Source organism: Homo sapiens, chromosome 13 (genome assembly GCF_000001405.40).
Source record: "Homo sapiens chromosome 13, GRCh38.p14 Primary Assembly".
In the NCBI taxonomy this organism is placed as follows: Eukaryota; Metazoa; Chordata; class Mammalia; order Primates; family Hominidae; genus Homo; species Homo sapiens.
The window spans coordinates 50993000-51005303 of NC_000013.11; the positions used below are offsets into that span (position 1 = coordinate 50993000).

The 12304-nt window shown below is 46.3% G+C and overlaps 1 pseudogene across 1 annotated transcript in view, besides 1 other annotated feature; it reads right to left on the reverse strand.

The window, feature by feature from the left end:
• Positions 1–1511: 1511 nt before the first annotated feature.
• Positions 1512–12304, reverse strand: part of GUCY1B2 (guanylate cyclase 1 soluble subunit beta 2 (pseudogene)) — a 71647-nt pseudogene continuing 60854 nt past the window's right edge. Inside the window, exons 16-17 of the transcript NR_003923.2 lie at positions 11254–11577; positions 1512–1812 (exon numbers count right to left, since the gene is read on the reverse strand). The product of NR_003923.2 is annotated as a guanylate cyclase 1 soluble subunit beta 2 (pseudogene) (transcript). The remainder of the gene's footprint in view (positions 1813–11253; positions 11578–12304) is intronic.
• Positions 8344–8514: a silencer, noted in NCBI's record as "fragment chr13:51575479-51575649 (GRCh37/hg19 assembly coordinates)". NCBI's record gives its function as "represses an EF-1alpha promoter that drives an FKBP-Casp9 reporter gene in an ReSE screen in phorbol 12-myristate 13-acetate-treated (for megakaryocytic differentiation) K562 erythroleukemia cells {active_cell/tissue: K562(+PMA)}" and the evidence as "EXISTENCE:reporter gene assay evidence [ECO:0000049][PMID:32094911]".

Sequence of the window (12304 nt, forward strand, 5' to 3'; positions counted from 1 at the left end):
TAACATACATGCATGCAGGGCCAGTGCCCGGCACATGTTTGAGGCTCCATAAATGTTAGTACAGATGGTCCCCTGATGGTTTGATTTAACAGTTTTTCAACTCTACAGTGGGTTTGTTGGGAAGTAATCCTGTCGTGTGTCAAGGAGCATCTGAGTTAAGCTAGTTTGATTTACAGTTTCAACTTTACCATGGGTTTATCAGGATATAAACATTTTATCAGGATATAAACCTGATGCATTTTTGTATTTTCAGCTTACAATGGGTTTATCTGGACAGAACCCTCATCGTAAGTGGAGGAGCATCTGTGGTTATTACTACTGTAAGCATTGTCATTATCTTTGTGCTCTTAGATTTCACTGAATTCTCACACGCACACATGCACACATAAAACTATGAGGTAGGTGGGGCAGCTGTCACTAACCCCATTTTATAGCTGGTGTATCAGGTGGTAAAGCTTGGGCAAGAACCCCCATCTCTTGACTCTGCACTTTGTCTAATCTGAGCTTGCTGTTTCCCGCTGGACTGCAGGTCACACCTGTCCATTTCTAGACACCAAACACAGTTGCTGTCTAGAAAGATTGCAGCAAGGAATTCAACCCTTGTCACTTTCCCTTTGTCTCCAGGCCCTGGGATTGGCTGAAGACAGAGCCAGGTCCTGCCTGTGCCCTCCTGGGAATTGCTGAGACAGTTAATGCCTCTTGGGACAAGTAAGGTACTAGCTTAAATGGATCACAAGCTCCTGTGTGCCCTTAAGATTTTCGTTAATGTCTAGGTCAAAAAAAATACTTATTTTCTTATCATCACGAAATGCAGATGCATAGCCCCATCTCATGCCTCGCTTCTCCTAGTTGGGATAGCCTCTGAGAACATTTCCAACACTCTTCTTTGCAGAAGGTATTCTGCACCTACAGCTGGAAGCAGGAGACGAACCGGCCAAAGGTGTCTTGGCTGTGCTCTGCCTTCTTTCCTTAGCTTTCCTAACTCTGCCTTTCCGGTGATTTTCATGTTTTCCCTTTCATTTTACATTCAGAAAATCTCTGGGGAATGCAGCTTTTGTTCTGTTGCTTCACGTAATTCCCAGGGCAGGGAATGAAAATTATTTGCTTTCACAACTTCTGGCTGAGTGCCTTTCACAGCCTGGCTGTGTTCTGGGGTGATTTATAAACTGCAGAGCCTGGGTCTCTTTCCTCCTCCTTTTCCTCCTCCTCCTCCCCCCCCTCCCCCTCCCCCTCCGCCTTCCCCTCCTCCTCCCTTTCTCCTTCCCACCACCCTTTAAAACAAGGTGAGCCTCCAGAGTCAGGGTGTCAGCCACTGGGGCTCTTGTTCAGGCAAAGGTTCAGTGGAACCATAGTGATGAGAGCTTGAAGCCATTCATTCCTGTTAGAAGAAGACAGAAATAGGCCTCAAGGCCGAACTTACGTCTCTGAGAACAAATTTGACCCAAAATCTCAAAGTTTAGGGTTGGCTTTGAACTAAGAATATAAAAGCACATTTTCCAAACTTGTCAGGATTGTGTTTCATTTCTAGACTTTTATTCTCAAAGGGATGATGAGGAAGAGACACGGCTTAAGAAGTTTTGAGCTGAGAAATGAAAAGAAGTCACTTTTCTTTGCTGCCACAGAACTAAGTAGGGGGAAAATTAAGCCCAGGGGTTCATTTAACCTGTTACAACAAAACACAGAAACCAGACGGCAAAGTGTCATTTGCAAGGTGATGTGTCTTTGTCGGAGCTGAAGGCTGTCGCCGGTCGGCTGTCTCCATGGAGTCCCCATCTGGCCCTGCACTCCCCACAGGGATGATTTCATCAGGAGCTGAAAGAACACAGAGGGGTGAGCAAGTGATCGAGCCTCAGACTGTCTGTCTGGGCCAGACCCTGGGGAACACGTGTGGACACTACGGGCCTCCTTTTCTACTCAGTGTGATCCTGGACAGGAAGAATTCTTCACAGCCAAGGCCAAACAGCCCGGACAGACCACTGCCTTGTGGCTATATGAGTTCTTTGAACTGCCCTGTGCCATCTTTTTGGTCATACCCACATCTTTGCTTCTGCATAACTCACACAATAGCACCAAGTCTCCTTGTCTTCTGGCCTGTGGCTGTCTGTGACTTCTGAGCAGCAGACACGGAGGCTGAAGGTCAGAGCCAGCATTGCCACTACTTGACCTGTAACCCTGGATGAGTTACTGAAGCTCTCTGGGCCTCAGTTTTCCTCATATGAAAAATGGAGAAATAACACCTGCCTTCCAGGGTTGTTATGATCATTAAACTAGATGATTTATACCAAGTGAGTCACGCAATGCCCCATAGAGCACAAACTCAAAGATGCCAATTAGTATTTCTAAGCATGGGAGGGAGCCCTGGGAGAAGGCCCTGGAGAAAAACCGCCTCCGGGACTGTGAGCCAAGGCAAGAGAGAGAGTGGGATCAGAGAAGGAATGGGATAGAGGCCGGGTGGAGGACACTGAATCTATCTCCTCCCGCGTTCCCTGCAGTTTCATTTGGAAGGGCAGCGTCTGAGATTTTAAAGTCATATATCATTGCCATTTCCTTTTTTAAAAATATAAATCATTGTCCCAGAGATATTCAAGTTCAGAAAGGCGCATGTATTAGGTCTGAGGCTCACGTACATCTAGTATTATAGAAAGCGGGAAATCAAGAGGGGCTCCTGTCTTCGGCCTTCTCTTCCCAAAATAATGGATGACTTTTTTTTTTCACTATTAGAGGCTGTTAGCACTCAGACTTCATCCTGAACCTGGATTAGTGATCGGTTTTGTTTTAAGATCCTAAGAGCACAAACAATGAGACAGAAACAGGCTCCATTCGCTAATGCACTGCTCATTGAGGAATGTCAGTGATGACATACATGTGGAAAATTTGGGGCTACCAGACCTCTCCCCAGTCTCATCTCAGTCTCAGGCCCAGAATGAGGTGAAAATTGGAGAGAGGGCCCTGGAGCAGAGAAAGGGGGATTCCTGGGACATGTAGGGCCATGTCACTGAGGCAACTTCCAGCAATGATTTACAGGAAGCGTTTAGCTCATGCATATATTGGGGCCAATCTGAAAAGGAATCAAGGTTCATGAAACTCTCAACTGTGACATTTTATAGGGTATGGCGCAACCAGAGTTAGCTAAGTACAGATATCATTAGCTATATGTTCATTTGATTGCTATTACATATTCTCTCTCTCTGACACACACATACACACACACACACACACGCACACACACACGACTGAATTATATTCAGCAGTATTTTATGCTCTTTGGAAACTGTTACTTATTCAGATACAGGATGTTTTGTTTTTGCTTTTTGCTGATTCTCTACTAATTTTATTATTCCCAATACTCTCTTTCATTTTGAATTATGGAGTTTATTGCAGTATTGTATTTTTTGAGATGTAAAAACTATTATAATTAGAACTAAATTTTTCAAAAATGGAAACATGCAGGTTAAATGATAAAAATAGTGTATTTGTGAAATTTGGGTTCCGTTTTGTTTTGTCATCATAGCAAATAGAGAAAAAATGAGTTGATTACAGATGGAAGTGTAATTTTTTTCTGTTGAGAAGACCTGGTCATCTGCCTCCACATCCATCACCACCCAACAGCACTACAAAGAGCAGCTGAACTCTCCCCCAATACTCCTCTGTGCCCCAGTTTCTCCAGATGTAAAACAACACCACACAACACATCTGTCTCCCCCTCAACTCAAAGAAATGTTATAAGAATCTTTGAGAGAAAAAAATATCCACAAAAGTGTTGTGATCCCAGAACTTATTTGTTTTGTATGTTTGTAATTGTATGAAAAGTGGAGGTCACTCTAGTGAAAATGAAAACTGAGCTGGAAAGGGCTGGAATTGCTAAAATGAGCAGAAATACGGTAAAGGAAACCATTCCCTGTACCCAGCAGCTGTCAGGCTGTGTTCATGATCTGCTCTTGCTTCCTGAGAGCACCATGATTTCTTTGTAACCAAAAGGAATAATCTATTTTCTGGCCTAACCTCTCATAAGGTATTTTGGAGTAAGCTCAACACTAGGAAACAATATTTTACAGATATCTTCGTCTCCTCTTTATTCAACACTCTAATTTTTTCCCCTTGCAATTTCTCTTCTCAGAAATGTAGCTTTTCAGCGTTGATTCATCTCTCCTGCCTCATAGCACATTTTTCTCTCTTCTAGCCTGACCATTTTTCATTTCTCTCACTTGTATCTTAACTGGATCTTCCATCTCCTCCACTTCTACTCCTATTTCCTTTAAATTCATTTTCTTCTTTCCCTTTTCTCTCCCTAAAGAGTGAACAGAGAACAGACAGAAAGGACAATCAGCTAGGACTGTGCTGAGAAAATGAACTGAAACAGCACAGTGAAAGTTGGACAAGCCAAACCTGACTCCATCAATTTGGGTTGATGCCTCTGACAATTCAAACAAGACTTGGTCAGCGCAGAACTGCAAGGCTGTCTTGGAATTTTCACACATATATGTTTGACATTCTACTCCAATTCAGTTCCACAATCCAGATGCTGGAAGAATTTTGTTTACTTGAGATGGATTCTCGTCCATCATCTTTCGCTCCCACAAAACCATTGTTCACAACCCCCAAGGACTGCCTATGAGTACCATCATTTTGTTACAGTTAATGCTCATTGTTGTGCACAGTTGGGAAATGTAGCCTTCTGGTTAATTACATTTTCCAATTAATAGAAATTACAAGGTACATCTTCCATGTGTTGCTGACATCTAGACACCTGGGATACTCTAAGCACCAAAGCTAACTTGAACAAGTTTAGTCTTTCTTGGAAAATTTAGAGGAAACTTCAGGACTCATGGAACATCAAGGGTACCAAAGTGTGTTGTAGATGTGGGTAGTATAAGATAATTGGGATTTTCATTTGGTACAATGTAAAAGTGGTTTGGGGGTATGTAATAGCACAAGTCACATGGGAAATAAGGGTACCATGTGAAGCACATTATATCTTTTTAAAATTATCCTCCTCAGTATTATTAAGTGTTTAAATGTTCAAAGGAAAGAAATTCATGCCCTGCCAGATTACAAAACAGTATATACATGACAATTCCATTTTTGTAAGAAAAAGCATGTCTGTATACACATATACACAGCCTCCCATATAAAAGTCAGGGAAGATATGACCCATATTTTAATAGTAGTCTCTCTGAATGATGTAATTATAGGTGCTTTGGTTTTCTTCTTTTGGTTTATCCATACTTATTAAAAATTAAATATTTCTTCTATAATACAAATAAACAAATAGTCTTTAATTGGAAAAATCACATAGCTCAGTATTAAAATCAGCACAGAAATCTATCTCAATGTAGATCAAGAACAGATTAAATGAAAAGAATGGTTGCAGAAGAAATCTTCCCATTTGGAAAACACCTATCATGTGAGATTGTCAAACACAAACTTGGAGGCTGGGGAGTTGGGGGTGGTAGTGGCTGCAGCGATAGCAGCATGGAATGTGAGGAAATGCTGTTGCCTTGGGGAATAGAGGTGGGATGTGGATCATCACCTGTTATCACAGGCAGGCTCTATGAATCATACACGATATGATATGGGGTTACAAGAAGGATTCTTACAATTGCCATTAAGATAATCACTTCATAGCATTTCTGCATCTGTTTCTAACCTTCTAAACAGAATAAGATATGGAAGACCACATCTTGGTTTCAACACTGATTCTCCACGACTGGGGTGGAGGGTTTGGCCTGAGCCTGAAATCAGGCACTCAGTCTTCTCCAGGGCCCTGCACCACCACGGCTTCACCCCATTCACCGCTTCACCCCATTCACCGCTTCACCCCATCCTGGTCCTTGACAGCACAGGGCTTGTGCCACCGTCCCACCTCTCTCCCCACCCTGGACTGGCCTTTGCTCTGTGTGGTCTCCACTTGTGCAGAGCCCTGTACCGCTCCCACTTGCTTCCATCTCAGTTTTCCCAGCGTTCACCCTCATCCTAGAGGAAGAGCAGGGGATGTGTGAACAGACAAAAGAGACACAAATTCCAAAAATGAAATTTTAGGGGAAATTCTACCAGTGAGTGTATACTTCTACCCTAGCGATACAAAGAGTGCAGTGGCATTTCCAGGATGAGGGAAGGGGTGGCTGTTCTAGGATCACACTGCCTGGTTGCCTCTTTCCATCCATGAACAAAAGAGGCCATGCCGTGCAGGAAATAAATTCCCAGCTTCCAGAAGTCCCCACATTTTCCAGAGACCAGAGCAGATCCTTGCCTATTCTTGTTTCTGCTGTTGCATGCACCTTGTCTAAGAGGTTTTCCAAATCCCAGTGTGTGTTTCAGCATCACTTGTGCACACTGTCATGCTGGAGCGCCCTGCACAAGGCTGGGAGCCTGACTTCCCATGTGGATTCCTCTGTCCCATTTGTCTGAAGCTCTTCGCACACAACAGATCGTATTTAAAAAAAAAAAAACAAACCTCTGCAGTACCTCTTACAGTTTTGTGTTAAGACCCATATATTTGTTAAGCGAATGAATGCCCAAGTGACTCAGCAGTCCGCACACCTGACACTCTGCTGTTTTCAGGTGCTACATACTATCTCATCTATTTCTCAAAGCAACCCTGTGAAGAAGGCCCGCCATTACCCCTGCCTTCAGGATGAGAAAAATGTCTTGAAGAGGACTTGCCCGAAGTAACACACAGGTCGCTGACTGCCAGGACCTGGAATTCTGATTTCAGTCTATTGCCCTTTCCATCACGATGGTGATCCCCAAGCCAGTTGGCTCATCAGAATCCCCTATAAAGTTGGTTAACGAACCAGTCACAGCCCTACTGCAGACTTGCCAAATCCCTCTCAGGTGAGGCTCAGCCGTCTATACTATGAACAGGTTGTTCCACAGATGGTCTGGCTGCCCTCCCACCCATGCCGCCTGTGCTGACCAGCTCTGATTTGACATCTGGTCGATGCTATCAAGGGTGTCAACACAAAACTTCAAGGCTAGCCCTGACACTGAAAATCCTATGTTCCTCCATTAGTCACCTCCTTGTGTGTGAAGAGTTCATTTATACCTCCCAGGATCCTCCTTCTGTAGGAGCTAGGTTAACGGCTCAACTTCTAGAAAACCCAAGGTTAAAAATAGCTGTGACACTCATTAGCCCCAAGGGGGAAAGGTCAGCAAAGTTTGACAGCCACACTTAGGAAGGACTGAGAGAGGCTGCAGAAAGGGCTCGGAGCTGAGAACAGGGACCCAGCCTTCCTTAGAAGCCTGGCTCCAAACCAGCTGGGCCCCCCCTAATTGGCCACGTCTGGGAAAGGTGCTCGTATAGTCACGACTCTGTAAAGCAAGGGGCAAGGGCCCTGGTAATTAAGTGACCACAAACCCATCCAATAATTACTCATCAGGGAGACTGCAAATGGTGGAAAAGTTCTTCCTGTTTGGAAGAGTGAGTGAAATTTGGAGGGAATCAGCAACCCAACCCCTCCAGCAGCAGACCGCTAAAGTCTAACCTCATCAGGAGAGAGACCCTCACCACTCAAGTTCTCCAGAGGAACAATTAGGAGTTGCTTGAGAAGTCCCCCAAGCTGACTTAACCTGCCATGAACCCAGCAAGCAGACGCCCTCTGACTGTGATTTATAAGGAAGGGGTCGCCTCCAGAGAGGGGCCTGGGCTGCTTGCCTAAGTGCTGTGTGCAGGTCAGCCTGGAAACCATTATTGTCATCAACAGGAGGATCAGTTAGGAGACAAGTTGAAGCAAGTTGAAATTTGAAAAACACATTAACAGCGGCCTGACGAGATGCCAGAAGAGTCTGCCAGCAGGGACAGCTGGAAGGCCAATTTCTGAGTCAATACTGAAAGGTGGTTGCTTAAATATCTGAGTCAACACACACTGATTTCTCTCCGGCTCAATACTCCCGTTTAATTGCACTAGGGAGTCTCTCCACTGACAAATCTAACACCAAGATATATAGTTAAGTGAAAGAAAAGCATGTTATTGAAGTGCAAATGAGGTCCTCCATGCAGCCTGCAGGCCTGGGTCCCGCTGAGCGCTCCCTACTGCCCTGGCAGAAGGTGGTTGGGCCTTGCAGGGACTCCCTGTGGCCCCCTTTTTAAAGAGGGTCGAGATACGCGTGAGCCCCAGGCCTCAGCTGGCCAGCAGAGAGAAGTCTAGGTGCGCTGCAGCTGCACAGGCTACCAAGACTCTGAGATACTTTGTCAGGATCCACGGTCCTCTCCGGGGAGAGGGGGCCAGGAGTGCCCGTTTCCCACCCAAGAGGGCCAAGTCAGATGGAATGGTGTGCCACTGAAGAGCCATCATGTTTGGCAGCCAGGTGACCACCTGGTGAGATTGGTGGCAGAGATGATGAACGAAGCAAGTCTTGAACGTCCACCCAGCTGCCTGGAGCCTGAGAAGCAGGTTGGTCTCTGAGGAGTCCTGACAGGTCATGGCTACTGATGCAGACACTTCCCCATCGCGATGCCCACATAGGGGCCGGGCAGGATGGCCCAGGGGTAGTGACGAGGCTGGGGGCTCCCACAGTGACCCTCTGGCAGCCTTCACTGACTTCAGAGCTAAGCATGATATAGGAGACCTAGCTAGACCTGAAAACCCATGAGAACCGGGACCCGAACCACAGTGAAGAGGCAGCTCCCATGAGCAGGTGGCATGAGTCCTCCACTGCTAAATTCTATGTCTGCTGCCAACTGTCAAAGATGAGGAAGAAGCCCATGTCAGTGGTAAACCCAAACTCAAATTACTGGGGCACATTGTGAAAGGGCAGTTTCTGGTTCAGTACGTCTCGGTGTGGGTAGCTTTGGGTCCAGTGGCACTCCTGGTGCACACCAGTCTGTCATGAACCCACAGTGTGGGAGTGCTTCCTCATTAATACACCTGCTAATCACACCGAACAATCAGAGATCTGTTCAGATGGGGCCCAGAGGATCTGAGAGACAAATGGCTGGGCCATTGTCAACCCAAGCAGTTCAAGTGCAGTGGCCACCACTTAGGGAAACTATGGAATTGTCTTGGTCTGATGCTCAAAATGAACTCACACGGACGTGATCTGCCCTAGACAAACAAGTCTGAAATGAAGATCAAATGCTATTTCTTCCACTTACTAGTTGTGGGACCTTATATAACTGTTGTGTAAATAAGATAATGTGGGTAAAATGCCTGGCACAAAGTAGTTGCCAAAAAAATGCCAGTTCACCGCTCGAGTTTCCCCCCAAAACTGAGGTGGCCTCAATTTTTCCTTCTCTAGTTCAGTGTTGCTTTTTGTCCAGGAAAGCCACAGTTAGAAGAGGTGCTGTGAAATTTCTATCTCTCACCTCTAAGCAAGACATCCAGCCCTGCTGGTCCCTGTGGCAGGACCTCCCCATCTCCCACGCAGCAGAAGTTTGAAAAATTAATTTACTCATCTTCCTGGAGCATAAAGAGTTTTTTAGACCTTCCCTTCTGAACTGTTTATGGAACCGCCATTTAGGAATTCAAATGGCAGAGCCGTTCTCCCTCTGAAGGTCTCCGGGAGCCCCAGCGCCTCCTCACCTACCCCTTATTTCATGCTCATGCTTTTTTGCACGTTGATAAGCAGTCTCAAGGCCAAGACTGTCCCAGGCCCCGACACACCTGTCTGATTTCATCCCTATGTCTCCCTTCCTCTTGCAGCCCTTTCCAGGCACACTGGTCTTCTTGTCTCCTGTGAACTTGCCAAGGCTGTTTCTGCCTTGGGCACAGCGCTGCCTGGAAGCCCCTACCCAGGTAGCCACATGGGGTTTCTTCCTTCATCCAAGTCTCAGCTGAAATGCTGCTCCCTCTCAGAAGACTTCACTGGCCCTCTACTGAGTTTTATTTTTTTCTTAACATTCATCACTACCCCAATGATCTTATTTGTTTAGTTACATGTTAATTGTCTGTTTCCCTCTACTAAACCACAAGCTGCCCAAAGGCAGGAATCTCATGTGTTTAGTTCAGTGAGCATTGCAGATCCCAGGACAGTGACTAGATGCTTTGTCCATTCCTGCAGCAGCAACAGTTTTCCAAGGAACACTATCAAATGGACCTATGAGTGTTATAATTCTATCCTGTAATACGTTGGACAACTATTCAGGGTTTTGGGCACTGCCAGAAACATGCAACTCCAGGAAGGAGAGGAGTGGGGACGGGAGGGAAATGCCTCCAGGCAATGGCAAAAACTTTGCTTTGAGCTTCTCATGTCCCAGAATGCAAATGTCCATCTGACCCCAGGATCAGAGTGAGAGAAGTTTTGCTCTGTCTCCTCTCACCTGAAATGAACAGGAGGCTGCTATTCATTCCCTCAACCTCAGGTTCTAGGATCAAGCTAGAGGGAAGCCTTTGGGCATCAGGGCAGTGCCAATGCCAAGGGCTCAAGCAACACTCAACTTTAGAGATATTGTCTAATAAAGATAACGAGAGCTAGACTTTTTATATGGATTATTAAGCTGTTCTAACTCATCACATGGATCATTTCATTTGTCTTAAGAAATTGTCTCAGTGACCAGAGATGGTTTTTAGAAAATGCATGAGATGTGATCCCCTCTATACTGTGGCCGTGCCGCTTTTAACTCCACACGGATCACCTAGCATGAGGGTTCTAGAAAAAGATGGGGGAGCTGCTGCTACAGGGGTTCATGTTGTCCACCCATCCCTGGTTCTTCATTATTCCTTTGTGACTCCATACTCAAAAACCAAGCCTTGTCAGTCCTGAGAATGGCTCTGGCTCTGAGGGAGCTGAATGACTGCCAAGGCCGTCCAGAATAAGCATGAATTAAGCAAACCCTCCTGTCCCTACGACCCTCAGGACAAAGTGGAGAAGAGAGTAACTGGGCTACTCTGCGGAAGTGTCAATGCCCTGAGGTCTCTGTAAAGCACCAGATAGTGCAGGAAGAGGAAGTCTCAGCTCTCCTTAGCAAGACAAGGCAAGCTACTGAGGGCCACGCTGTCCAGAGAAACTTTGTTTTGTGGATGCACAGAAAGTAATACGTTTTTCTGGTATTAGAGATTCTTTTGGAAGCGAGTATAGATGGCCCTGCCGGAATGAGAGCCCTTGGGACACCTGGGATAGGGGTGCTCAAAACAACAGTTTATTCAAAATACAGCAAGCAAGTCAGTAGCGTCCTGCCCCGGGACACCAAACTCCACCTGTGCTATCCCTTCCCGGCTCTTTCTCACTGCCTATGAAGTGACCTCTGAAGTGTCCGATTGTCTTTATGAGCAATGCAAGGCTGGAAGTATTTTAGACCAGGCCTGCTGCACTCACCGTCTGCATCTGCTGCGTTTCTGTCGGGGATCAGCTGCTGACTGTCGGCATAGCTCATGACGGCAGCAGTTCTCCTGTCTTCATTTCCCTGAGCACTTGCTTCTGCAAAAAACCGTGAGAGGAAGGAAAAGTGAGGACGGTTGCATGAGTGGGCTTCATGGCTGCCGAAGTGGGAGACTTTTTTTGGATGCCTCTGAACATCGGCTGCCCCTGGCAGGTTTCCCACAGGTGCCCATCATGTGAAGGACTGGATGGAAGTTCCAGCTGTTGGATGTCGTGGTAGGGAGGCTGAAGGACATTTAACGTGTTTCATGTACTCATTACCTAGAACGAGGAAATGCACTGTCTTGAGAACGAAGTGGAGGAGAGGAGGCTCATTTGAGGAAGAGCTCTCCTGGACACTATCCTTTCTTGTTTCTGTCACCTTCTGGGTCTTTTTGTGCTAGGGTGGAGTGGGGCACAAGAAAGACCCTGCAGGGCCCTTTCTTCTGCATTGCTTTGGTCTTAGACATAGTTCTTAATGCTGACTGCACACTAGAATCACTGAAGTGCCCTCGCTGCTGCTCCTCCCTAAGTAACCCCCCCAAAAAAGTCGTGTGTGTCCCATGGGAGATAATCTGAGGGAATAGACCCATGTGAAAAGAGTATCAGTGAACATAACAGTGTTTCCATGCCCCTCCCCCATCACTGTCTTTGAGAGGCTCTATCTTGCCTCATGGAGATGTCAGTGGTCACTGGGAGAAAACACCCTGGACCCCGGAAGTTAATGGGGTTCCTTAGGAAGCAGTATCTGCATGAGGTCTCCCCTGAGAGTTCCTGGCCTTCCTGCTAGAGCCCCCATGCTGCAGATGAAGGCAGGCAGGGAGAGACAGACTCACCCTCCCCCAGAGCCTGGTGGCTGAGGCTCACAGCAGGAAATCCAAGGCTGCTGGGGAAAGGGAGAGGGGACTGGGAAATGCACAGAAGCATGAAAAGGGTTGGGATCCTTCCTTCCTGGGACCACATATATGTTTGTGCAGTTTTCTCTACATGGAGGCACCTGGCCAAGGGG